The sequence below is a fragment of the Homo sapiens genome, chromosome 22 (genome assembly GCF_000001405.40).
Source record: "Homo sapiens chromosome 22, GRCh38.p14 Primary Assembly".
Lineage (NCBI taxonomy): Eukaryota > Metazoa > Chordata > Mammalia > Primates > Hominidae > Homo > Homo sapiens.
The window spans coordinates 10,934,710-10,962,246 of record NC_000022.11 but is presented as its reverse complement, the minus strand read 5'-3'; the positions used below and the strand labels follow the sequence as shown (position 1 = coordinate 10,962,246).

The window sequence follows — 27,537 nt, the reverse complement described above, 5'->3', positions numbered from 1 at the left end:
CCTGTTTACTGATTTCATTCAAATTCTTCAGCGAAAACAGGACCCCGACTTGCCTTCTCTATCCTGGTTCCCATCACTCTGCTTTACAGGCCTGGCCTGCTCACGGCTCCTCACACCAGCGCTGCATGGCTCCCTCCACACCTCCGCCCTGTTTCCTCCATCAGACAGGACTAGCTTCCTCCATCTCTATCGGGCAAAAGCCTGCCCAGCGTTCAAGACCCTCCACAGATGCCGCCTCCACGATTAGCCTTCTTCCTGACCCCTGAGCCTGTAACACGCGCCACCATAACTCTCCACCTCAGCCCACATTCCCACAGGACTCATGACGTCCGCGGCCCTCAACATGGTGCTTCATTCTATTTTAGGGTATTTCCTGCTTGTTTCCTACACACACAGTCACACGAGGCACAGCCCCGAGTGACCCGCGCACGAGTGGCCCGCGCTTCCAGCCGCGCCGCCGCAGGCCAACGAGGGCAGCCTAAGTCGCTTCCCGCCCCCGCGGGGACCGTCGCCAGCCCGCAGCTCTAGCGGGAGGCCGTTTCACAGCGCGACCGGCAGCCCCGCCACCGCCAGCACCGGCGCCTCGGGCGGGCTTTACTCCCGTCAGGGAGGCGTGAATCCTTGGGGGCTCCTCGAGAGGGAGCCAGGGAGCAGCTGCGTGAGGCACCTTTCAGCCCTCTGCGGCCGCCATAGCTCCCCAGCAGAAACTCGGAAGTGGAAATCTCAGCCATTCAGCGTTTGGGTCAAGACAAAGGCAGGTTCTGGACAGAAGTACGCTGTCAGGGAGTGTTTACTTTGCCTCCACTTCTGATCCTCCCCGCCCTGGTGCTGCTCCGGGTCACATACTCGTCCTGAGCCGGCTTCAGCCTCTCCGCGCAGAAGTCTCCCGGAGCCGACTTCTGCGAGTCGAGTACTCTCATGTGAAGTCTACCAAGCTCGTGTTCAAGGGAACCAAGGCGAAGAGGTGGGTCCTGCAGCTGTGGCGGGAGCCTCCTCAGTTCTTTTTGGACGCACTCCACCCTCGCGAATCCGGTGGAAGTCGTGGCGCAGAGAGCTGGCTTTGTGGCATCCCAGGCTTCGCCCTGGCCCCTGTCAGGGCTGGATGGAGGCCGGACCGCGGTTCCTGGCGCCTGTGCAGAGAGGGGCAGTCTCCCGCGCGGATGACCCTGGAAACAGGATAGACGGGCGGGTGACCCGTGGCCCCGTATCCACGAGTTTGGGTCCCCTGAGGCATCTCTCCAGGCCTCTGCCTGGTGGGTCTGCGTTAGTCTGATCTTGTAGTTCATGATGATAACTTCCTTTATTAGGGATTATTCTTTTCTCCATTGTCTCTTCCTGGAAAAGTTATTGATTAATTTTTTGTAAGCTAATATGTAGAGTGAAACCAGGATGAATCACACAGTGGTTGAGGTGTATATGGGCTTTGATAGGGATATGGGCTGGAACCTGCACTCTGTCATTTACTAATTTTGTAATTTGTGGCAAATTGGTTAATATGTCTGAACTTCCATTTACTCATTAAGAGATCAAATATCTTTGAACCTCCGTTTACACATTTATACTTTCAGACCATTTTTATACCTTTAGAAGACTGTGAGGATTAAATGAAAGAACATATATGCAGTAAATAAATTGAGCCAAATGTGAGGAGGAGGTCGTAGTGGTAATTTATTAGCTCTTTAGGAGAAAAATACCTGTGCACTCATATCCCCGCTTCTTTTTTAACTGGCAGATTTGCCCGAGGTTGACTGTACATATAAATATTGAGCATTTCCTCCTGGTCTCCGTGATAAACAGAGGTTTTGATATTTTTAGGCGAGATGGAAAGAAAGTATCAAGGAGTGAGCTGAAGCCACTGCCTTTGAGAACCCTCTCGAGGAGTCTGGCCTCATGAAGATGCCAGAATAAGTGGCAGGTATATCCTGAATGAATGTGAGATTTTTACTCTGTGAATTTCCTGTGAGAAGTGGTGAGTTATCTTCTGAAAACTTTATGATGATTATGCAGACAAGAGTGTCTTAAGATTATCGTAATAATCATAATTAATGCTTGTATAGCACTTTCAGTGTGCCAAGAAATAGTTGTAGGCACTTTGCACATTAACTTTTTTCAAATCGCTCTTGGTTTTTTATTTTGTTATTACGATGTAATTCATAATTATAAAATTCACCCTTTTGTACAGTGGTTTTTAGTATATATTCAAGAGGTTCACCACTGTCTAGTTTCTCAGTGTTTTCATCATCTCAGAAGGAAATCTCTTCCTACCCATTAAAGCAGTCACATCCCATCCTCCCCCTCTCCTAGTCCTTGGCAACCACTAGTCTGCTATCTATGTGAAATTGCCTATTCTGAATATTTCCTAAGAAATCATGCAACATGTGGCCTTTTGTATCTGGCTTCTTTCACTTATAACATTCTTGAGGTCCATCATTGTTGTAGCACTTGTTCCTTTTTATGGCTGCGTAGTAGTCCATTGTATGGATGTAACATTTTGTTCATCCATTCATCAGTTGATGAACATTTAGGTTGTTTCCCCTTTTTGACTATTGTGACTAATGTTAGTGTGAATAGTCTTATGTAAGTATTTTTGTGGGTGTATGTTTTCATTTCCCTTGGGTATACATACTTAGGAGTAAAATTGCTGGGTCATGTGGTAACTCTTTAACTTTTTGAGGAACGTCAAACCATTTCCTGTAGATGCTGCACCATTTTACATTTCCACCAGCAATGTGTGAAGATACATATTACCTCTTAATCCTCACAATAGCCTTAAGAGTTAAATTATTAGCCTAACTTTTTAAGTGGGGAAACTGACTCACAGAGAGATTCAGTACCTTTTCCAAAAATTGCAGAGCTAAGAAGTGACAGAATCAGGATTTAAAATCTTGAAGTGTGGCTCTACAATCTGCTTTGAACTTTAACATAATATGTACAAAGCCTGAAGCAAATTCTCAGCACTGTATTTAAGAGAGCATAGCAATGTAAGTCTTCCTAAATCAATAATTTATAAATGAAACAGCTTAAAAGACTTCCAAGTTTCAATCTTACGATATTTATTTATCACACAAATCAATATACCTAAACTCATCTATATACATTATGTCCTGTAGTAAGAAGAAAAAGAAAAAAGATAAGAAGAGAAAAAGAGAAGAAGATGAAGAAACCCAGCTTGATATGTTGGTGAGTCAGTTTTCAGTGCTTTATTCTGAAAAAAGTTAACATTTCTTGAGATCTCATTGAAAATATTTTCCTAGTTAGAAATTTATGATGTATTCATATTTGTCTTAAAGTGCTTAAATATTACCTACAGTTGTAAATTCCATTTATTCTTTAGCACAGTAGATGCTACTGATGCCTTTACTTCATTATCAGAACACAGCACAGGAGAGAAGAATTACAACTCTGACTTAGTAGGCACCATTAGACTGCTTAATAGCCGGAGATTCTGATACATAATTTTAAAGGCTTAATGTAGATGTTATTCAACCAAATATATTTTACAAGTTATTTTCTTTGAACATGTATACATTTTAGTTGTAGAAGTCAGTTGTCTCTTAAACGAAGTATCTTCACAGGAAAAATTATTATTTTGTGAACTCTGAAACGAATGAAAATTTTAAATACAATATCAGGGTAGCCTGTAAATGATACTGGAAATAAATTGACCCAAACACACTTAACCAGCCTGTTTTCCGTTTAGCTGTTTCCATACTTTTTTTTTCTCTTTTAAAACTTGGTAAGTTGCATTTTGAATCTTCATAAATTATGGTAGCTTAAAAAATATATAAAATATGGAATGGTATAAAGCTAATATTCTGGAAGAATCATTGTTTTTGAAATGGCAAATCAACAATTCTAAAATTAGGGTAAATATCTAGGGTAGATATGTAGATGTGGAATTGCTGTGTCAAAGGATAGGTGAATGTTTAACTATATAAGAAACTGCCAAAAATTTTCTAAAGTGGTTGTGATATTTTGCCCTCTCACCAAGAATGAATTAGTTCTCCAGTTACATCCTTGCCAAGAGTTGATGGCGTTATCAGTCTTTTCTCCCAGTCTGAGTTTTTCCCAGTCTGAGTTTCTTAATGGTGGTTTTCGGATGGACACCTTTTTTTTTTTTTTTTTTTTTTGAGATGAAGTCTCGCTCTGTCACCTAGGCTGGAGGGCAGTGGCGCGATCTCGGTTCACTGCAAGCTCCACCTCCCAGGTTCACGCCATTCTCCTGCCTCAGCCTCCCAAGTGGCTGGGACTACAGGCACCTGCCACAACGCCCAGCTAATTTTTTGTGTTTTTAGTAGTGACAGGGTTTCACCATGTTAGCCAGGATGGTCAGAAGCTTTTAATTTTTATAAATCTTAGTTTATTTTTTCTTTTATGGTTACTGCCTTATCTCTTTGATCTAAGAGATCTTTGCTTACCCCAAAGTCAGGAAAATATTCTACATTGTCTTTTAGAGACATCATAGTTTTAGTTTTTACATTAAATCTGTCATTAATCTCAAATTAATTTTTGGCATGGTGTGAGTTTGGTTTCAAGATTTACTTTTTTTTTTTTTAACATCTTGATAGCCATTTGTGCCAGCACCACTGGTGTTTCCTTTTTCCATTAATCCAGTTTCATATCTTCATAAAAAATCAATTAACTTTCTATGTATTGGTCTATTTCTGGACTCTGTTCTATCGATTGTCTGTTTTTCTTTTGGTATATTTCTCTTGATTGCTATAATTTCATGAAGTCTTGAGATAAGGTAGTGTGTGTCCACCAACTTTGTACTTACTATTAGTTTATTAATTTCTACAGTGAAGCCTGTTGGATTTTCTCAGAGAATAGTATCGAGTCCAGATAATTTAGGGGAGAATCAACATCTTAATATTGGGCCTCAATATTTCATAATTTTCAATGTAGCAGTCTTGCATGCCTGTTTAAAATTTTATTCTTAAGTATTTTATAATTTTACACTACTGTCAGTAGAACTTTTGAATTTGATTTTCCAGTTGTTTGCTGTCAGTATGTAGATATACAATTGATTTTTGTGTAGTGACTTTGTAGTCTGATAAGTCTGTTTCACTTCTTACTTCTAAAGATTTGTTTATATAGAAAACTAAGAAATTTGCAATTATGTTTCCTGTGACTATTGTTTTACTTCTTTCTTCCTAATCCTTATGTCTTGTCTTGCTTTTTATTGGTTTATTATACTGTTCAGGACTTCCATAGTGTTGAACAGAAGTCACGAGAATGGGCATAATTGCATTGTTTCCAAGCTTAGGCAGAAAACTTTTAGTAGTCCACCATATGGTATGATGTCTGTAGGATCTGCAGAGAAAAACTTTATCAAAATGAGGACATTCCTTTTAAACTTTGTTTCTTGGGAGTTTTTATCATAACGATGTTTAATGCTGTCCAGTGCCTCTTTCTTTATCTGTTGAGATGATTATACAACTTTCTTCATTCTGCCATTGAATAACATTGGTTTCATTTTCAACTTTTAAACTAACTTTACATCCCTGAGATAAACCCCACTTGGTTGTGGTGCGTTGTCTTTTGGGATATTGCTAGATTTGATTTCTAGGTGTTCGTTTTTCTTCTTTATAAGATTTCTATATTGGTGTTGATGGGAGATATTGGACTTTTGTATCCTTTTCTTGTAATGGCTTTATTTGATTTTGGTGTCAAGGTGATATTGGGTGTCATAAAATTAGATGGGAAGTGCTGTCTCCTTCCCTGTTTTTGGAAATAGCTGTGTAAGATCGGTATGATTTCTTCTTTACATGTTTGATAGGATTTACCAGTGAAGTCATCTGTACTTAGAGGGTTTTGTTTGGTTTGGTTTTAGTTTTTTGTGGGAAAATCAAGATTTTTTAAGAGATATTTTCAGATTTTTCTGTTGTCAATTTTGGTAATTTGTGTCTTTTAGGAAAATTTCATTTCATCCAAGTTGTTGGATTTATTGGCATAAAATTGTTCAGAATATTCCTTTAATATCCTTTTAATGTCTGTAGAATCTAATCTGTATTGCAGTCTCTTCATATTGGTAATTTTTGTTTTTTCCATTTTTTCCTGGATCAGTCAGTCTAGCTGGAGGTTTATCAATTCTTTATAAGATCATTTATTTTAGATCATTAATGATCTTTTAGTACAGGGGTATTCAATCTTTTAGCTTCCTTGGGCCACAATGGAAGGAGAATTGTCTTGGGCCACACATAGAATACACTAACAATAAGCTGAAGAGCCAAAAAAAAAAAAAAAAAAAGCAAAAAAGTCTCATAATATGTCAAGAAAGTTTATGAATTTGTGTTGGGCTGCATTCAAAGCTGGCTTGGGCCACATGCAGCCCTCAGGTTGGACAAGCTTGTTTCAACATTACTTATTTTCTCTTTTTTTCATTTTTTATTTCATTTATTTTCATTCTTTTTTTTTTCCTCCCTTTAACTTATTTTCAGTTTACTTTGCTCTTGTTTTATTGCTTCTTAAAAAAGGAGTTAGATCTCCTCATTCCATGTTAGTTTTAGTTATAGTCAACACATTTTGTTTTCATTTTAATTCCATTCAAAATATCGTCTAGTTTTCCTTGTGATTTTTCTTTTCATGGACACTTGAGTTATTTAAAAGTGTACTGTTTTTAATTTCTACTACATAGAGATATTATAGGTATGATATTGTTGCTGATTTCTAATTCATTTATAGTATAGTTGGAGAACATACTTTCTTAGTGAATTTCCATGTACACTAGAAAAGGATGTGTATTCTGCAGATGTTGGTTCAGGGTTTTTTTTTTTTTTTTTTTTTTTTGAGATGAAGTCTCGCTCTGTTGCCCAGCAGGCTGGAGTGCAGTGGTGCGATCTTGGCTCACTGCAGCCTCCGCCTCCCAGGTTCAAGTGATTCTCCTGGCTCAGCCTCCGGAGGAGCTGGAATTACAGGCACCTGCCACCATGCCTGGCTAATTTTTTTTATATTTTTAATAGAGGCAGGATTTCACCACGTTGGCCAAGCTGGTCTCAAACTCCTGACCTCAGGGGATTCGCCCGCCTCGGCCTCCCAAAGTGCTGGGATTACGGGCATGAGCTGTGGCGCCCGGTAGTTCAGTGTTTTTTAGATGTCAGTTATATCAACTGGTGGAGCTTGTGACTATGCACATCTTCTGTGTCCTTACTGATTTTTCACTCATCCTACAATGTATTGAGAGTTATGTTAAAATCTCCAGCTGTAATTCTAGATCTGTCTACTTGAGCAGTTTTTGCTTAAAGTATTTTGAAGCTGTCATGTGTACACATTTAGGATTGTTAAGTCTTCCTTATAAATTCAGTCTTTCATTTTCATAACATTTTAACCTTTATTTCTGTTAAATGTCTTGATGCCTAGTTAAATTATTTGACCACCCTTTTGCTCCTGTCAAGCCTGGGCCTTTGTTAGTTTGTGCTTATTTATTAGGTTTTTGCCTGTAGACTTAGACAGTGACTCTTACTCTAGGAAAGTTTCATCCTCATGGGCCTCAGCCACATGTTCTAGGTATATTTGGTGAGTTCTCTCCACTCTGCTATGTCCCAAATTTGTGTGATCTCTGGCATCTCCAGTCAGCCCTCAGAAGTGCCAGCCACTCTGCATGGGCCTTGTGGAGCCTGCCTACTGTATGCACTCCCCCCAGCCCTTGGCCCCAGACCTGCAGAGAACTTTTGCATACTCTTTTGAGGCCTCACCTGTATGTTGTTCCCTCTTCTCCAGTACCTTATTCTATAAACTCCAAACATGTTAGCACTGCAAGACTCTCAGCTTAGTGACAGTGACATTGCCTCATTTTTGGAGGTCTCTACCTCTCTCTGCATGGTCAAGAAACTGCCATTGGGCAGAAAACAGAAGTGTGTGTTAGATTTGCCTCCTGTGTTTTCCTGTTCTCAAATATCACAGTCCTGTTCTGCCTGTGTTTCAATCCCCAAAAACAGTTCTCTCAAATATTCTATCCAGTTTCAGTTTTCTCATTGGTCATGATGGGAGGGCAAGTCCATCTTGGCTGGAAGAGGAAGTCCTTCTGCGTCTTTTTCTCTTTGTCCTTCCACCGTCTTTTGCATTGTGGATTTTCTAAACTCGCCGTAAAAATAAGCATGTTCCTATTTGTGAAGAGAAAGAAAAAAACCTTTTAATTTTTTAAAGCTGTTCTGTTGGTTCCTCACAAGGATCTGAAGGGATTGGTAAATAGGATGAAAGAAATTCTGTCTTTCACATGGAGAGTACCATGTGTGACATTAATAAAAATGAGCATGTCTGTAAGCAAATAGTTTCACTGAGCTCTGCTAGATTCAGAAGCAACTGACTTACAACATCGTAGTATGCAAAACACAGATTTGATTTACCCAGGAACTAAAGCCAAGTAAGCTATGGGTTAATAGAAGGTCTGTGAAGGGTACTCAGACTACAGTAAGATTTGGGAATAAAATTCCATTTCCAAATCTAAGATATATCATTCCTTTGTGCCAAGCACATAATGAAGGTAGAGATTTAAGGGGGCCCTTAGCACAGAAGCACTGCGTTAGTCAGAAGGTAAGGTGAGCTGTCTCACAGCCTTGATACTAGAATGAGGGTGCCCTGGGAGTATCTTATCAGCCATGACACTGGTGCATCGGGCCATTTTTTTTTTTTTTGAGACAGGCTCTTGTTTTGTTGCTCAGGCTGGAGTGCAGTGACATGATCATGGCTCAGTGCACCCTCGACCTTGTAGGCTCAAGCAATCCTCTCACCTCGGACTCCTGAGTAGCTGGGACCACAGGCTTGTACCACCATACCCAGCTAATTTCTTAATTTTTTTGTAGAGCTGGGGGTCTCCTTTTGTTGCCTAGGCTGATTTTGAACTCCTGGGTTTAAGTGATTCTTCTGCTTCCACCTCTCAAAGTGCTGGATTACAGGCATGCCAGACATATGGAAACATTCTCAACTATGTGAAAATATGTGAAAAGCTTTGTTATGCATTGTGAGACAACACAGCGGGAATATTTCACCATCTGCCTAAGGTTTAAAAGGAAACAACTTTAAGCATGTGTCTAAATAGCAAGTAATGTTTTAGAGCGGATTCTCTTAAATTCAGCTTGGGCATCTGCAGCATATATACACGGCTTGAGCTGTAACCTGACGTAGAGACAGGCAACTTCAGTGCCCACTGTTCTTAGGATCCACTGCTTTTTCACAGCTAAAACCCCCGAGTGGCACCGTTAAGTATTATGTTATGTTACTTTAGTCGTTAAACATATAAGCATACCTCCAAACGTTGAATGTAGGCCACTTGCATAAAGTAAGCAGAATGCTCACATTTAATTCTTGATGATACTGTGTTTAGCTTTCTTCTTTGAAATCTCATTGAGAAGAAATACTGGCATCTGCTCAAAGTAATTTCTTTTTCAGTTGACAATATTATAAGTAATGTTATTGTATCATTTTCCTACTTGGACAGAGGGTGAAAATTTTGAGGAGCTTGTCTGCCAGAAATTTCTTCTTTATTTGCAAAACATTAATGAGATATTATATTTAAATGATTTTATTTAATATTAAGTGTACTTGGTGAACATGGCATAGAACATACAAAATAAAACTAATTTAAAATTATTAACTATTACATTTATAAGAAAGACTTGCTAATCATAACACTGTTCATAATGATTCTGAATAAAGCATTATTTCCTTTACTGAAAACAATTGTAGCTATAACTCAATCACCTAAATTGTCATTACTTTTATTGCTTTCTAATCGTCTTTAGCTGAAATTTTAATTTTGATTAATTTTCTTTTTCTCCATTGTTTTTGTGTGTGTGTGGAGGTAAAATATACAGAATATATAATTTGCCAATTTTTCTATTTTTACGTGTACACTTCAGTGGCATTTAAATACATGCACCATTTTACCTTCCCACCAGCATTGCAGAGGGTTTCAGTTTCTCCACATCCTGCCCAACATTTGTTTTTCTGGTTTTCTTGGTTTCTGTTTTTTGTTTGTTTTGATAATAGCATTCTAATGGGTGTGAAGTGGCATTGCATTATGGTTTTGATTTATATTTCCCTAGTGACTAGTGATGTTGAGCATCTTTTCAAGTGCTTATTGACCATTTGTATATCATCTTTGGAGGAATGTCCGTGTATATCCTTTGCCCAGTTTTGAATTGTGGTATTTGTCTTTTTGGAGTTCTCTATATAGTCTGGATATTAATTCCTTATAATGTATGTAGTTTACAAATATTGTCTCCATTCTCTGGGTTACCTTTTACTCTGTTGACAGTGGTTCTTGATGCACAAAAGTTTTTATTTCTGATGAAGTCCAGTTTGTCTGTGTTTTCTTTTGTTGCCTGTGCCTTTGATGTTCTATATAAGAAATCATTGTCAAATTCATTGTCGTGAAGCTTTTCCCATTTTCTTCTAAAAGTTTTCTAACTTTAGCTCTTACATTTAGGTCTTTGGTCTATGTTAAGTTACTTTTTGTATTTGGTGTTAGATAAGGATCCAACTTCATTTTAGCTAAAATTTTATGTATTTTAAAATTGATTATGAAAAGCATGAAATGTTTAGTTGAATAGAAAATTTTGTGCAGTGGAATTAACTGAATCTTTAAAACCTTTTTATTATGGAAATACGAAAGTAATCCCTACATAGAAGAATATAATGAGTCCCCCATGTGCCCAGGCCCCAGCATTAATTATCAATATTTTGCCAATCTCGTTTCATTTCATACACACTCCCGCACACAATTTTTCCTAGAAAATTTTAAGTAAAATCACAGATATTACATCATTTTACCCATAAGCACATAAATGTACATTTCTTAATGTGGTATGTCTTTCTCTCATCACCTGTTTTGTTCTTTACTTTTATACGTTATACTATGTCATTATCAGACCTTGTAAAATTAACAAGAATTCCTTAATATGTCATATCCAGTTAATGATTGACTCATTTCTACTCTAGTTAAAGTACAATTTAGGAGAAGGTTTGAGGATATTTTTTAACATTAAGATGTAAGCTTTTATGACAACTGCTAAAATAATTGTGGCTAGAGTCTAACATTTCTGTTGGCAAATTGGAAATTAGTATACATAGACATAGATTCTGCTCATTTTACTTTCAATCTAAAATCGTAGTTAAGATTACTGGCCAGGTGCAGTGGCTCACACCTGTAATCCTAGCACTTTGGGAGGCAGAGGCGGGTGGATCACGAGGTCAGGAGTTCAAGACCAGCCTGGCCAATGTGGTGAAACCCCGTCTCTACTAAAAATACAAAAAAAATTATTCGGGCATGGTGGCAGGCTCTTGTAACCCCAGCTACTCGGGAAGCTGAGGTGGAGAATTGTTTGAACCCAGGAGGCGGAGGTCGCAGTGAGCCAAGATCATGTCACTGCACTCCAGCCTGGGTGACAGAGCGAGACTCCGTCTCAAAAAAAAAAAAAAAGATTACTATGCTAGAAAGTCTTCCTGTAGAGGCATTTTTAAGAAACATTATGATAGGCATTGCCTCTGGAAAGCAGGCATGAATAGATGGCTGGGGTCTATCATGAGAGAGACCGTTCTCCATATATCACTTTGTACCTTCACATGTTGCCTTTTGTTTTGTTTTGGTCTTTTTTTTGAGACAGGACCTTGCTCTGTCACTCAGGCTAGAGTGCAGTGGCGTGATCATAGCTCACTATAACCTTGAACTCCTGGGCTCAAGTGATCCTCTTTCCCAGCTCCCCGAGTAGCTGGGTTTACAGGCATGCACCCCCATGCCTGGCTGTATGTTGCTATTTTGTATTTTAAAAACCTAATCCTGACTGTGCTGGTAGTCACACGAATATGTGCACATACATGCAAACAAGTACATGTAAATCTGGTGAAATTTGAATAAGCTTCATGGATTATATCAGTGTCAGTTTCCTGATTCTAACAATGTATGATACTTATGCAAGATGTCATCATTGAGACAAAGAGAGTAAAGGATATGTGAGATCTTCATATTATTTATTATGACTGCAAAATAAAAAGTTTTTAAAACTAAGTTATAATAAAAAAGAACTCTGTGTCAAAACTAAAATATAAAGTAGAAATATCAATTTTATTTTTTAGGAATCTGGTGGACAGTAACAAACTTTGGTGAAATTTCAGGAACCATAGCCATTGAAATGGATGAGGGAACCTATATACATGCACTCAACAATGGTCTTTTTACCCTGGGAGCTCCACACAAAGAAGGTTTGTCTGGAAGGGAAGATCCTGCCACAAGTGTAGATTTTAGGACATTCATTCACTTAGGCCAAACTCTAACTAGTCTCAAACATTTTCCAAAGGAATGGAACCGTTGCATTTGACTCTTCCAATTTTTTTTAATTCCTTAATATTTACCAGCCATTGGCAAGTCCCTCTTTCTAATATAAGCATTTGAAAACATTCCGTGTAGTTCCAGAAGAGTATCTTTGGAAATCAAAACAATATGAATAATTAAAATAGTAAGTGGAAGGAAAAAAGAAAACCTATTTGAGTCAAACATGTTTGAATTACTTTTTTATTCAGACCTATTACCAAAACTAACCTGGGTGCATTTAACAATTTGAAGTTTCCTCATTTTCTTTAGCCCTTTAGAGGAAGCACTAGTGAGATACGAAGTAATTAGAAGATAAAAAGCAGTATCATTTGGTCAGCAAGGCCATCCATTGAATAAATGAAAGCATTTAGCTTTTTTAAATAAGTGCTTATTTATGACTGTATTTTAAAACATAAAGAGAAGCTATCTCGAAAGTTATTAAATAAACATTATATCACCCTGTCTTACTCAGTGTATAAAATTAGCACTGTAGTTAAAAGAAGGTAAAATAGATCTTGATTCCAAAGATACAGTATTACAGTGACATCAGTATATCTGAATATTCTTACATTTAATTGCAGAAGAAAATAGCCACATTTTTAAAGCAAAATAATGTCTTTATGTTTATAGCAAATGTCAAATTTATTTTCAAATGTTTTTTCTCCAATAGTTGATGAGGGCCCTAGTCCTCCAGAGCAGTTTACGGCTGTCAAATTATCTGATTCCAGGTGAGCTTATGTTGTAATATAATTAGTAACCAGTGTTTTTAAAAATTTAATTGTATTCATTAAAAATTTTAGTATCTGTCTTAAGCCCATGGTAATTTTGATATAAAAAATGAAATAGCTTTTTTGAGAAGTAGATTTTGTGATCTACTTTTAGTGGATTTCCTATCAATATATAATGCTAGGCTGGAAAAAAGATATGTGAGTTAAAAAATGAAGATTAATAATTTCACACACCAAATAAGATAGATTAAAAAATATATCAAATGGTACAAAACCTGGTTCACTGTTGGTATGATATTTAAACTCACTGTTTGGAAGTCTAAAGACAAACAGGAAGACTAAAAAAAGGAATATTGTTGAAACCAGCAGAGAACGTTACAGTATCATAATGACCAAAAGAATATTTTTACTCACTATTGTTACAGTCATTTTATAAAGTAACCTTTTTTATTCTCACCTTGTGCAGAAATATAGAATGATTCTTTGGGTAAAAGTTACTGAAAGTGAATTTACATATTTTAGTAATTGGTTACATCAACATGATAATGATTTCTGTTATACAATCATTAACGTATAAAGGAGTAAAAGTCAATTCTGGCATCCGAGGAGATTCTTGGTAAGGTAAAAGAAATCATAATTTTAAAAAATCACGTTAAGATGATTATTCCTATTCTTTCTTTGAAAGTCTGATAAGTAGGGTGAAAGACAAAGAATAAAAGCAGAGGAAGAAAAAATTCAATAATTTTAAACTGCTTTACAATTATAAACAGAAAAGGATTATAAAGAAAATCAACTGACAAATGAGGAAAATATTTGCAACAATCTTAATAGGCAGTGAGTTCTTACTGTTCATATGTATCTTGTATAGAATTCATAGCACTGAAGACCCCAGTAGAAAAATTGCAAACAATCAGATCTGAATAGAAAAATGGACAAGGGACATTACCAGATAATCTAAAAAGTAAAAAGGAAAGGAAAAGAAAAACAATTGTTATTCTAGTTAACTACTAAAATGCAAATTAATAGGATACTTTTTTTTCATATCAGGTTTTTGAGTATTTTTTTAGAGTCATAATGTTTAAAAAAAAAAATCCATGATACAAAACATACTCTGTTAATTTGAGGTAAGAATGTAAATGGAAGCAGCATTTTCTGGAAAACAGTTTGATGACATAGTTTTAGTAATTTATTATTGAAGTTTATAACTAAAGAGGTATAATTGAAGAATGATGAATTTTGAAAATATTTGTTACATAATATATAAGGTACAATGTTTATATTAAAAAAGCAAAATATAAAACTAAATTTAAATCTGCAGTGTCCAATATGGCAACAACCAGTCACATGTAGCTTTTTTTTTTTTTTTGAAGGCACATAGTCTCACTGTGTCACCCAGGCTGGAGGGCAGTGGTGTGATCATAGCTCACTATAACCTCAAATTTCTGGGCTCAAGCACTCCTCCTGCATCAGCCTCCCAAGTAGCTGGTATTACATGTGCACACCACCATGCCCAGCTAACTTTTTAAATTTTTTGTAGAGATGGGGTCTCACTATGTTGTCTAGGCTGATCTTGAACTTCTTGCCTCAAGCAATTCTCCCATTGGCTTCCCAAAGCACAGAGATTACAGGAGTGAGTCACCACTCAGCCACATGCATCTTTTGAACACTTGGAATATGTCCAGTCTGAAATTTTAGATATGTACACACCCACACACATACACATGTCCTGTTTTGATGCCCTATAATTAATTTCCTCTCAGTTTTTAACTTTTATCTATCTTATTAATGTACAGAATCACCCTGAAATCTGGCTATGGAAAATATCTTGGTATAAATTCAGATGAACTTGTTGTTGGGCATTCAGATGCAATTGGACCAAGAGAACAATGGGAACCAGTCTTTAAAAATGTAAGTGCTGTTATTGTTTATAAAAACTCCCTGTCAATTTAACAGAAAGTCTGTAACAGTCAATCATAATATATTTAAAAAGAAAAAGTAGGATGCAATAGTATAATACATTAAATAGGAATAAATCAGTAAGAACATAGAGCCTTAAAGAGATCTCAAAATATAGTGCAACAAAAATAGCATTAGTACTTTTGCCCACAATTATTTCTGTATACCCTTAGTGCCTAGATATGGATCTCATTTCCATTGAAGAACCAGTCAATTTTAGGTCACAGAGTAGGAAAACAGAATTGTTCCTAAGTGTCTTCTTTGTAGCAGAAATCATGGATGTTTTCAGAAACATTACAGACTGTAAGCGAACAGTAGAGCTAGCTAAGACCAAGTCGTGACAATTTGCATATAAAATATAAATAATAATAGTTCATTGAAGTAAATTATCTCTAAAAGACTTTCAGTTCATAAGCTTAAAATAGTGTATGAAAAGATTTAATATGAGAAAAAAAGATAGTATACTAATTCTTAATTTTAGTAAGTAGTTGTAGTATATGGATGTTTTGTTAAATCTTTGTTGATACAGAATACATAATTTCCTTTTTCTGTGTGAGAAGTAAAGATTGAACAAAAATATGTGAGTGCTAAACTGTCTTTAAAAAGTAGATAACTATATCAAAAACAGTAAGGACCAGTGGGCATCACGCAGAACAAGCAAATAGAAGATAAGCTCAGCCTTTGAGTAGCAGCTTTGGTAGTATACAATAATGAACTGAAAATAGGAACTCAGCAGTGTTTTCTAAGATGATAGATTAAACAAACATCCCACCAGAAAGAGGTAATCACTTAGACTAATTTCCTCATCCCCTAGGATAAAATCTTAAGTCAGTGACTTGAAAAGTATTTTTACCCAATCCATTGAGAAATGCATTTTTACATTGCAGCCCAGCACACACATATGTATAACTGAAGCAAGAGTTGTACTTAACAATACTTACTTATCCATGTGTTATGCACTTTGATATTTCTTATTCTCTTTTACCCTTCCTCTGTGTGTCTGTGTGTTTTCCTTTTCCCCCCCACCCACACAATACCATTCAGGAAACACTACATTGATTTCATTACCTGCTAATGTGTTGCAACCCCTTTGAGATCATCCTACTAGTTACGATGAGATGCTTCTAATAAAAGTTACACCAGTAGAAAATGCCAATATTTCATAAGGCCAGGATGATGACTTAGATAGTACTAATAATACAACACTTTAGGAAAGTTCATTTCATTTTATTTTTAGGAAGGACACTAAGTTTCAAAAATTTAAATTTAAATGAAAGAGGGTCTTAAAACTCTCTTGCAAAAAGGACTCAGCTGAATAATCTGTGACACAGGTTTAAATCACCTTGGACCCCACCACCATGTTCCAGGGCTCACCAGGAGCCATCCAGATGAGAGAACACCCAGCCCTTGTGACTTGACTAAGAAATTAAATCGATGTTATCAGCACGTTTTTAACTGGATGTGATATAAGGTTAACATATTTTGTAATCATTGTATTTATAAATATTTTGTCTAAATGTTATGGTATTCCAAGTTTTCCAAAAGAATCAACCAAATACAAGTTATAAATAAACGTTATATTTGTTACGGGAGTTAAGCTAACCAAATTTATAACCCAGATTTAGATACACAAGAAAATCAGTTTTTAAAGTTTTGTTTAATAGAAAGCAGTGTAATACATCAAACATTAAACAACTAAAAATGTATATGAATATTTATTTTCACACACAAAAGTCCCTCAGACATTGACTCTTAAATTAAAAACACCAAAGGCATTGTATATACCTTTTCATGTTTTCTAATTGTGAAGAAAATAAATTTTACTTAAAATGCTAATATTTGAATAAAGTATGCATCCATAATTATGTTCTCATCTTTAAAGTTAATTTTTCAAACAGAACTAAATCAGTTTTATCTTCAGTAGGTCTTTTAGAAAGGAAGCAATCCTACCTCATCTAATTAGAATAGTCCTACTAGGAAGATATGCTACAAATGTTTATTGTGGTAATCTTTGAATAGTAAAATGAAAGGTGATTTTGGTTTCCTTTTCTATATGTTCTTGTATTATATTTTTCAGGTTTTTCTCTAAGTTCTTTTCTGTGATTTTTAAATCAGGGAGGAAAAATTAATTCAGTGTAAACACTTAATGTTTCTTCTACAAGAAGAATCCTCATGGCTATTTTGTTATTTTGTTTCACTTAGGGGAAAATGGCTTTCTCGGCCTCAAATAGCCGCTTTATTAGATGCAGTGCAAAAAGTAAAACAGCAGGAGAAGAAGAAATGATCAAGGTAATGATGACATTTTATACAGATGACTGCATTCACACATGCGATGTGACTGTATCTCTTTAAAATGTTAAGTCATCATTTACAGTCACTTTAAAGATTTAGTTAATGGCTTTTAATAATGTGGTGTTTCAAATAGAGTCACTTTTAATTATAAATCCCATAGTTGATGGCTTGTTTATACAATGTGGTAGAGAAATCAGTGCATCTAGGAGCTACCTTGCCATTATCTCCATGGATTAGTATCTTTTTCTGGTAGTTCCACATGCTCTTTTTAAGCTTTCATTTTCTTGTTTTCTTGTACTTTAAAATCTAATTTTTAAAATAGATAACGTGTACACATGGTCCAACATTTTTAAATAAAAGCATATGAAGATGAAGACATATGCCTGCCATGCATCTTACTCACCTGTTTCCCACCTCCTTTTCCTCTTTCCCTTTGTTTTTTTATAGCCTCCTAAAATTTCTTTATAAACATATGAATATATCTATAATTTTCAACTGTTTTACACTAAAGGCAGCCTCCTCTATAGTCTTCTCAACTTTGAATTTTTTTTCCTTAAAATTGTATCTTGGAGAGTTTTCTACTATTAGTTTGAATGTAGGAAGTTTTCTCTTTTTCTTGCTTTTCCTCTCTTTCTCTCTCTCTCTTTTTTAACAGCCACATAATATTCCATTTTAGGGATGTACCTTAATTTATTTAGTCTTTTGTAGATGGAAATTTAGGCTGTTTCCAGTCTTTTGCTCTTATAAACAGTGCTGCAGTACATAATATTGAATATGCATCAATTTGTAGATGTGCGGGTGGAACTGAAGATAAATTTCCAGAAGCAGAATTACCAGGTCGGGGTATACGCATTTGTATTTATGTAATGCTTGAGCTTCTGTGATGATAATCACTCTATGAAACATAAAAAATCATAGCAGAACTTCTGGGGCCTTAGCCCTTACATTTTAAAAATATTTTTATTAATAGTACCCGTCTTCTTTGCATTAGGAGAAACATGAATCACATAAAACATGATTTTATTTTATTTTTAAAATTTGTGTGCATCACTAAGCTGGAAATAAAAGTTCCTTATTCCAGGCTAAATTCCCTCATCCGTAGTCAGATGCGTTGGCTATTGCACCAGTAGCCTGTGGCCTCCCTAATCCTACTCTTTGTTTTACATCATTGTAAAAGTTATACAGACATCTTCATTTCAAGGTGAAATTCTAAATAATACTGTTAATATAACCTAGATTAATCAGGTAGTTAACTGGAATGTGATGAAAACATTTAAGGCTTAATTTTTTAGACTTACAAAAGCCACTGATCTTTAATGATAAACATATACCAGGATGTGTCTAAAGAATAACTCCCCCCTTCTTGACACATGGCTTTTCTGTGTCTTGGCATTCTATCGCAGTACTGAGCAGCCTGAACCTTGCTTTGTTTGTCTCTGTTGGGAATCACAGGTTGCATCCAGTCTGACCCAGGTTTGCTCTGTAAGGCATTGTGGGGGCCAGAGTGGAAGGCTCTAAGAGAGGGGGTTAAATGCCTTTTCTAAAATGCCCTTCGTTCTTATAATTAGAGCATAAAAATTAATGTTACATTTTTCTCTACTACCAGTGTAATTTAAAAGCATCTATCAATTCTCTGTACGTGCTTCATGTTAGATTTCCGGTCATATGTTTGATTTTCTTTTTAGAATAGTCTTGATTTCAGATAATTTCAAATCTAAAGCTCAAACAATTTCAATCTAAAATGTAAGTTTTTCTTACAGTTAGAGAAGTGAAATGTTATATTTTTTCGTTGCATGCATCTGGCACATGCGATGTAGTCTTGAATTTCCATAATGCTCCTGTGAGGTGGATGTGAGCTCAGCCTTACAGACAGGAAGACAGCCTCTGACCCTCCTTACATCCTCGTGGTTTTTGTCAGTCAGTTCATGGAAATCACAGTGATTTCAAGGTGTGGTAAGACAGGATGTGTACCCAGGCTCAGCTGACTCCAGAGGCCACTCTCAGTATTTCATAGCACATTGCTTCTCAGGAAACAGGTCATTGAGGAAATACAGATGGGTTTGTGATTACATTTAATTTTATTTATTTATATTTTATTGTATCATGTGTAAATTATTTTTCATCTGGATATCATCACAAAAGTGTTATTGAAGGCAACAATTGCAAGTATATGTGCAGTGCTTTGCACTTATACAAAGATACAAAGATACTTACACAAAGATTGCGTTTTTCACTATTTAAAGCAATTTTCAGATGAAATACAAAGTTTTCTGGGTCTCTTTGTTTAGTTAAGTACTTGGAAGCTCTGAACAGTGATTATTTAGGACTCTTTTCATACCATTCAATTGCAGGCTCTCCTAATCTCTGTCAGCCCTTCACCTTTATGACCTTGCCTTATCTACCAGAACATAGATCCCTCTTACTAAAAGTAGCATTGTGTTACAGGCCCTAGCAGGGAATGTTTTCAGGTCTGGGACCCCTCTAATCAAAACTGTCACAAAGATGTCATTGGCACAAACACGTTATTTGTCATCACTTTCTAAGCAGCCCTGGAACTGGACTCTGGCCACAGAGATCATTTAGGAGATATGAGTCCTTACCATTGCCAATTGCCTGTTCTGTGGATGATCCTAATTGTTGAATGCAGATCAATTAACTTATGACATGTGATAGTAAATATCTGTCCAAACTTAGGAGAATATAAGAAGCCAGTAAAAGAGGTGGGTTCCAATTAATTAAAAACAAGTTGTGAAATGTTAAAAGTTTTAATACTTTGATAATAGTCTGTGCAATGTAAAATAGCTATTAAGCTTTCAGTCTGATCAAATGAACACTTGTCTACTAGGGATAATTTGATCCTAGTGTATTCACTTGGAGGACAAAATTAAATGAATGATTTCTTTATTGCCTAGCAGGATCTGATGTGTAAAATGTTTCTGAAATAATTTTGTCTGTAGTGTTTCTGACACAAGGGCTGTGGAGGAAGCATGTGATAGCACTTACTCATATAGATTATATATATGAATTAAAAACGCATAGCCAGAACCTGTCTTTTTCTGAATATAGTTGCTCAGTTTTTTCTTCTGCATAAGAAATCATCTCGAATATTCTTATGTGATACGTAAAGTGGGGAAGGTGGAAGATAAACATATAACCCATTGGATTCTCTTTTCCAATATCTAGATTAGATCCTGTGCTGAAAGAGAAACCAAGGAAAAAGATGACATTCCAGAAGAAGACAAAGGAAATATAAAACAATGTGAAATCAATTACGTGTGTGTATTCTTTTCCTTTTAGACCTACAGATTTGACAGTGAAGTGCTTCTCAAAGTGCTTTCAAAATAAATTACCTAATTAGCTGGGGATGGTGGTGCATGCCTGTAGGCCCAGCTACTTGGGAGGCTGAGACAGGAGGATTGTTTGAGCCCAGGAGTTCAAGGCTGCAGTGAGCTCTGATCACCACTGCATTCCAGCCTGGGAGATAGAGCAAGATCCCGTCTGAAAAAATAAAAACTGATGGACAAGAAGAGGCAACACGATGTAGCCTATAGGACAGAGCACTGAGCTAAATTCTTTTCTTTTCTTGAGGGTTCAGTTTTCCTAATCATCCTACCAGCTCCCAAAGCTACTCAGTCGGGTTAGTCAACCTCTCCATTCATAGAATGGGCGTGATGCCAGGCAAAGGCTGTTCTCTGGCCAGGACACAGGGGACTCCAGCCAGCATGCCCTAATAGAAGTGGGGCCTTGTGCTACCCAGTCAATGAGTGGCCCTCCTCTTGAGAGGTCACAAAGTTCATCTTGTTGTTCAAAAACTCCACCTTATTAAAAAAAATACAATTAGACTTTTTTTTTCTCCCCCAAGACGGAGTCTCGCTCTGTCCCGCAGAATGGAGTGCAGTGCCATGATCTCGGCTCATCGCAACCTCCACCTCCCAAGTTCATGTGATTCTCCTGCCTCAGCCTCCCGAGTAGCTGGGACTACAGGCGCAAGCCACTGCCCTCGGCCAATTTTTGTATTTTTAGTAGAGACGGGGTTTCACCATGTTGGCCAGGCTGTTCTCGAACTCCTGACCTCGAGTGATCTGCCTGCCTTGGCCTCCCAAAGTGCTGGGATTGCAGGCGTGAGCCACTGCACCTGGCCTACAATTAGACTTTTTTAATAAGTGAAAAAGAAATTAACAGTATTTATATATTTAGTAGTAAATATGTATAATCAGAGTTTGAGGTATTTTTCAATGAAGACATTTTCTTTGCAGAAAGAAATTTCAGAGCTTCCAAGACCACAAACTTAAAATAAGTAAAGAATACAGTAAAATTCTTAAAAAGGCTCAGAAAGATGGATTTTTGCATGAAACGCTTCTGGACAGGTAGCTATTTACTTATTTTCACTATCTTCAGTAGCCAATAGAAATGGCATGTAGAAAACCTATATTGTCTTAAATTACTGTAGTTTTCACATTTTTGTCTTTATTTATAATTTATGAGTGTGGCAGTATTACCTAGAGAGCACATCATGAGTTTGGGAAAAGACTGTCAAGAAAGAATATCTAAAAATTATAACCGATTCTAAGTATATACTTTAAGAAATTCAGGTTTGACTGTATCTACTTCATAAATTTATCATTATCTTTTTATAACTATTAGAATCAGAGTTAGAAAGAAGCAGTTTGACTAATACAAAAATTATGTGGATTCTGTTAGAGTAGTTCAGGTTCCTTAAAATAAGCATATATCAACTAAAAAGCTAGGTATAAAAGCTAAATAAGTGAAATTGAAGCAGTTTTATTGCAAGATTTGGAAGAGTGCAGGATGTTTATCATAGCACATTATTAATATTTATTACTCTTCCTATGTAGATAAGTGATGTCCTAGATTTACAACATAGAAAAACAGGTAGAGTCGTTTAGCTGTGAGTGTACAAGTATAAATCAATTAAGTGCCAGATTTTGATAATCACCAGCTGCTCATTCAAGTCCTATGTTGCAAAGTTACTCTTACCCTTTTTTTACATTACTTGATAAAGGCAATGTTTAATTACATATTTCCTGTTAACTAGCTGGTAGAGTTCATACCTAAAGTCAGTAAATAATGTTAAGAATTTTTTCCAGCTGAGCAAATGAATATGTATCTAGTTGTAAGAAATCAAGAAGAGGATATAAAATATAATCAGGATATGGACTCTAAAACGGAATAAGCTCTATGTCCTGTAACTTTTTTCACTTGTAATAATACAGCATTCTCACCCTGTTAAATGGAAATCTAGAGCACCCTTAAATTCCAGAATAATTAAAATTGCTATTTGGATTGAAAAGCCCTTGGGCAACATTTATTGAATATTAGGAAATAACTTTTATAAGATTAGAATCCATTTTTTATGGAAACCAAATTTAAAAGTATACATGTTTTAATATAAGTGTTGTGGTAATACAATAACCAAAATTGAACACACAGTTTTAAAGCTTTTTATATTTAGTAGCAGTTGAATACATATGGCATGTTTTACATAGATTAATTTTACTATTTTTCTTTATTTAAACAAGAGAACCAAATTGAAAGCTGACAGATACTGTAGATGACTGGGATTTTTGTCTCTGTCTTATCTTTTTGTGTTTTTTTTTCTGAATGAAATATTCAGAGGAAATGCTTTTACAGAGTTCTTGAGTTGTTGTGAAATTATTGTTTAGCTAGTAGCTAGTATAACCAGGATTAAACAAGTTTAATCAGGATTCTTCATGGATGTACTTTTTAGCTAACTACAGTTTTTCACATGGAAATGAAACTTACAGTACACATTTAACGTACCACAGAATTTTTTTCTGGATTTCCTGTCCTGAAGCATGAAGTGTACTAGAAACCAATTCTTCCTGCGCTACTTGTGGAATCTTTCTTAATGGATCATAGTCTTACTTTACTTTAAACAATAGATGCTTAAGCAGTGCCTTTCATAGGAAGTTAGAAACTCCCAATCCAATCAACAAGGCTTTGATTCTACCTCCTAAGTACTATCCAGATCACAGACAATCCAAATATCAGAACTAGGGGGCTGGACAGAGAGGACAAATCATCTATTAGGGAGTGGGACAGAAAGTGGAAACATTACAAAGGAGCAAGTAGGCTCAGAACAGAGGGGAGAGTAGTACTGGGGAAACTCCCTACTGAGGACAGGTTTGCCACAGTGGGTATGTATGTGATGCTTTTGTCCTCGTGGGCTGGAATGGAAGCTGATAAAGAAGTTCAGACGCTACGTGTTGCTTAGGTCTGCTTTGTTGAAGCCTGTCTCTTTCAGAGTTCCTAAACACAATATTCCCGTGGCATCTAATCCCAGTGAGTGCTCCAAATCCAGGCTGTGTATCAGATGCCACGGGAAATTCTGCCTCAAGACTGAGGTTGGTTCAAGCATCCGGATGATGTCAAAAGTCCACGTTGTGTGCTGGCCTAACCTGAAAGACCCTATCTAGTTCTAGCCTTAAATTCCTTCTGTCACCAAATCTAGAGTTACATGGCATCTGTACAAGCTAGGTAGCTGAGGCATGGGATCAGCCCTATAAAGGAGCTTTTGGAGCTTTTGTTGTAGGTCTAGCTTCAACTTGACACTCCAGTTCCAATAGCTGGACTTTCTCTCATTGTGTGTTCTGATCTTTGGATTGGGAACAAAGTAACCACTCTGATCCCACAAAGCAGTGGTTCCGGTTCCCAACTGGTGACTATTTTGCCTCCGAGGGGACATTTTTGGTTTTCCCAACTGGAATACGGTGTTAGAGAGTAGAGGCTAGGGATGCTGCGAAGCATGCGGCAGAATCCTGTTCTGCCCAGAATGTTAACAGTGTCAAGGTTATGGAGCCTTCCCACCCAAGGGCTTGGTGTATTCCTTGCTTTTGCCAGCTCCCTAACCCTTAAACACAACAGCTGTATGCATAAGCATCTCCTAGGAACATGCACATTTCCAATATCGACTACTGAGACCCATCCGTAGAGATGCAGGCTTAGGAGGTCTAGGATTGGGCTCAAAATTTGCATTTTAACAAGTACTCCAGGTCATTCTGAGCAAGTGATACAAACCACAGAATGAGGAACACCGCCTTCAAGAGACTGAATCTTGCTTCACAACACTAGCTTGGTACCTGAGACCATCTGCCTGCTGACTGGCTTTCCTGGCACAAACATTCTGCATGTAGGCACAGTGTGTTCCTGGACTCCATGTCAACCCGTTCACCCTCATGTTCCCTTGGTTCCTGTCCCCAGTCCAGCGAGCAGAACTGATTACAGATCTTGACAACAGAAGATACAGATTTAAAATAACTTGCCTGTTCCCGTGGACTTTATCCACTAGTGAAGCAGGACAAGTGGACAAGGGGAGAGGGTAGGTGTGGGCTCCTTCCCTATTCCTCCCATTCCACTTTATACAAACCCCAGCTAGACCACTGGGAGAGCAACGGAGGTTAAGAATGGCTGCATCTAAATATTGTCATCTGGTCCACTCTTCTTCCATCTTGTACACAAGTATATGAGTTTTGTTTAAAGCACTACTGAAACCAAGATAAACTCTGGCTTAGCATGCCCCTGACGGATCAGTCTAGTAATCTTATCAGAACCAAGATTACCTAAAACATTAACCAAAGGAAAAGCTCCCTCACCCCAACCTATGACTGCCCACATTTTTCAGATTGAATCATTTCAATTGTATTTTAAGGTTCATTGACTCTTTTCCACCTCCAAGCTGCTCCTGAACACAGATTATTATTTTTTAATTTTGAAAACTTTCTCACTTCTAGAATTTCCACTTGAGCCTGTTATTATTGTAGTTTCTTCTTCTCTGCTGTGATTTCCTATCCATTTATTTTAAGGGTTTTTGGGGTTTTGATTTTAGTAAGAATTACAATAACTAACTACTTTAAAAATCCACACTAATTCCAACATCTGGGTCATCTCGAGGTTAGTCTCTATTGATTGCCTTTTTCTTTGAATATGTTTCTTTATATGTTTGATATAATGGGATTGAATTCTGAAGATTTTAAAACTAGATTTTGTTTTGTTCCTCTGAATATTTTGATAATTTTTTGTTGTATTTGTTGTATTTTGTTTGATTTTTTTTCTATTGTATACTTTACAATATATTTTCCTCCAATGGTTTTAACATTTCTATTTCTGAAAATATTTATGTTTATGTTAAAAATTATACAAAGTAACTTGGTACAGTGGCTTCCATCTGTAATCCCAGAACTTTTAGAGGCCAAGGCAGGAGGGTCACTCGAGCCCAGGAGCTGGAAACCAGCCTAGACAACAGGGCAAGACCCTGTCTCCACAAAAAATTATTAGGGTGGTGCAAAAAGTAATTGCTGGTTTTGCCATTACTTTCAATGGCAAAACCCACAATTACTCTTGCACCAACCTGATAAAAAATAAGCTGGGTATGGTGGTGGCGTGTGCCTGTGGTCTCAGCTATTTGGGAAGTGAAGGCAGAGGCGGGAGGATTGCTTGAGCCCAGGAGTTCCAGACCAGCCGGAGACCCTGTCTCTATGAGAAAAAAAAAAAAAAATTAGCTGGGCCCACGTACCTGTGGTACTAGCTACTTGGGAGGCAAAGGCAGAGGTGCCAGAATCACTTGAGCCCAGAAGTTCAAGTCTGCAGGGCACTGTGATTGTGCCACTGCACTCCAGCCTGGGTGATGGAGCACGACCCTGACTCCAAATAATAATAATAATTACAAAAAGGAAAGACCTAGAACACCAGGTTAGGGTTAAGTATTCTAAAATTTAGCTGACTTACTCTGTTCTCTATAAAACAGGTTGCCACAGAAAATATAGCATGCCCAGTTAATTTGAAATTTCAGATAAACAAATACTTTTTTCAGTGTAAGTATATCCCATACAATATTTGGGACATGCTTATACTAAAATATTATTCCTTATTTATCTGAAATTGAAATTTAACTGGGTATTACATAATTAGAGCAGCCTGACCATAAAAGATATGTAGGCTGAGCAAAATTCTACTTTAAACTTTAAGCTTTATAATAAATGCATTATTAATCAAGAACTATTATTTACTGAGACCTGTGTAGATCCCCATATTTATCTTTTTAAATGTGGAACTAGGAAAGAACATTTATAGAAATAAATGACTGTTCTATAGCTGAAAGGAAAACTCTAGCTTTTATTTTTCTCCCCATACTTAAGCTTTATTCTACATTTGTATAAACAATAAAATTACAGCTCAACTTTGGAAGCACAGATCATAATATAAAAATAAAGCAAAGATCCCAGAAACATTTAACAGGCAACAAATCTTTCACATCATCTTACTATAGCAACTATACATATAATAACTTAGAATGATCCGTTAATTATAAGTAAAGAATAAATTCTTTTACAAAGCATAACTATTAATATTATTGACCATCATAAGAGCAAATATTTTAAGTAAAACACCATGAATACTTTACAGAAAGGAGCGAGTTGCAGATACAGTCATTCTTGGATTTCTTTCAACACCAGGCTTTCTTCCCTTTTGACCTGAACTGGGAGTTGAATATTTCCTCTCTGCCCTCTGACCCTCTAGTCTCTGAAGTATCTTTTGTACTAGAGGTATGTGCAGAGACTTCCTGGAAATTTGGATTTGTAAATTGTGCTGTTGTATCTTCTAGGCACTGAGTGATCCAGATATAGAGCTGTTGCTCTTGCTTGTATAAGTGTAACATTTTGATTCAAAAAAGGAAGTAAAAGGAAGACAGTTGATTACATTTGGCTACTGACATTAATAATAATAAATAATATTTGTACTTGTAATATAAACATCTGAAAGTTTTAGTTCTAAGAATGGCTGTCCACATAAGAAAATTATGTAAAAATAATTAATGTCTATTATAATTTCTTTAACCAAAGAAAAAGTATGATTTAAAGATGGCTCTTTAAGGATCAAATTGCAGCAATTGGTAAAAGTAGATATTAGTCATATTTATTAAGTGACACACAGTGATACTGAAGGCACTTATTTCTCAAGAAACATCATTTTTTCCCAAAAAGAACATATTACATCCTAAATATGAAATGAAAATAAGCTTTAATTTTCACCACAGGAGGGCGACAATCAGAGAACTGAGGTAGTACAGATCCATTAGAGGACCATATCCATGAGTCTATCAGTCTCTACTGTAGGACAGAGCAAGAATTTTTTAAAGAATCTCGGTGAAGGCTCCTTTTCAAAAAAATACAAAGATTAAAGCCTTTGAAACGTAAATTATTTTTTCCAGTTATT

The 27,537-nt window shown here is 36.6% G+C and overlaps 1 pseudogene across 1 annotated transcript; it reads left to right on the top strand.

Moving 5' to 3' along the window:
* Positions 1–717: 717 nt before the first annotated feature.
* On the top strand, positions 718–21,650 carry FRG1FP (FSHD region gene 1 family member F, pseudogene; annotated as a pseudogene). Its single transcript, NR_132320.1, has 9 exons — positions 718–964; positions 1,816–1,915; positions 3,111–3,180; positions 12,073–12,198; positions 12,978–13,035; positions 14,829–14,943; positions 17,194–17,280; positions 20,467–20,558; positions 21,540–21,650. The product of NR_132320.1 is annotated as an FSHD region gene 1 family member F, pseudogene (transcript).
* The last annotated feature ends 5,887 nt before the right edge of the window (positions 21,651–27,537 follow it).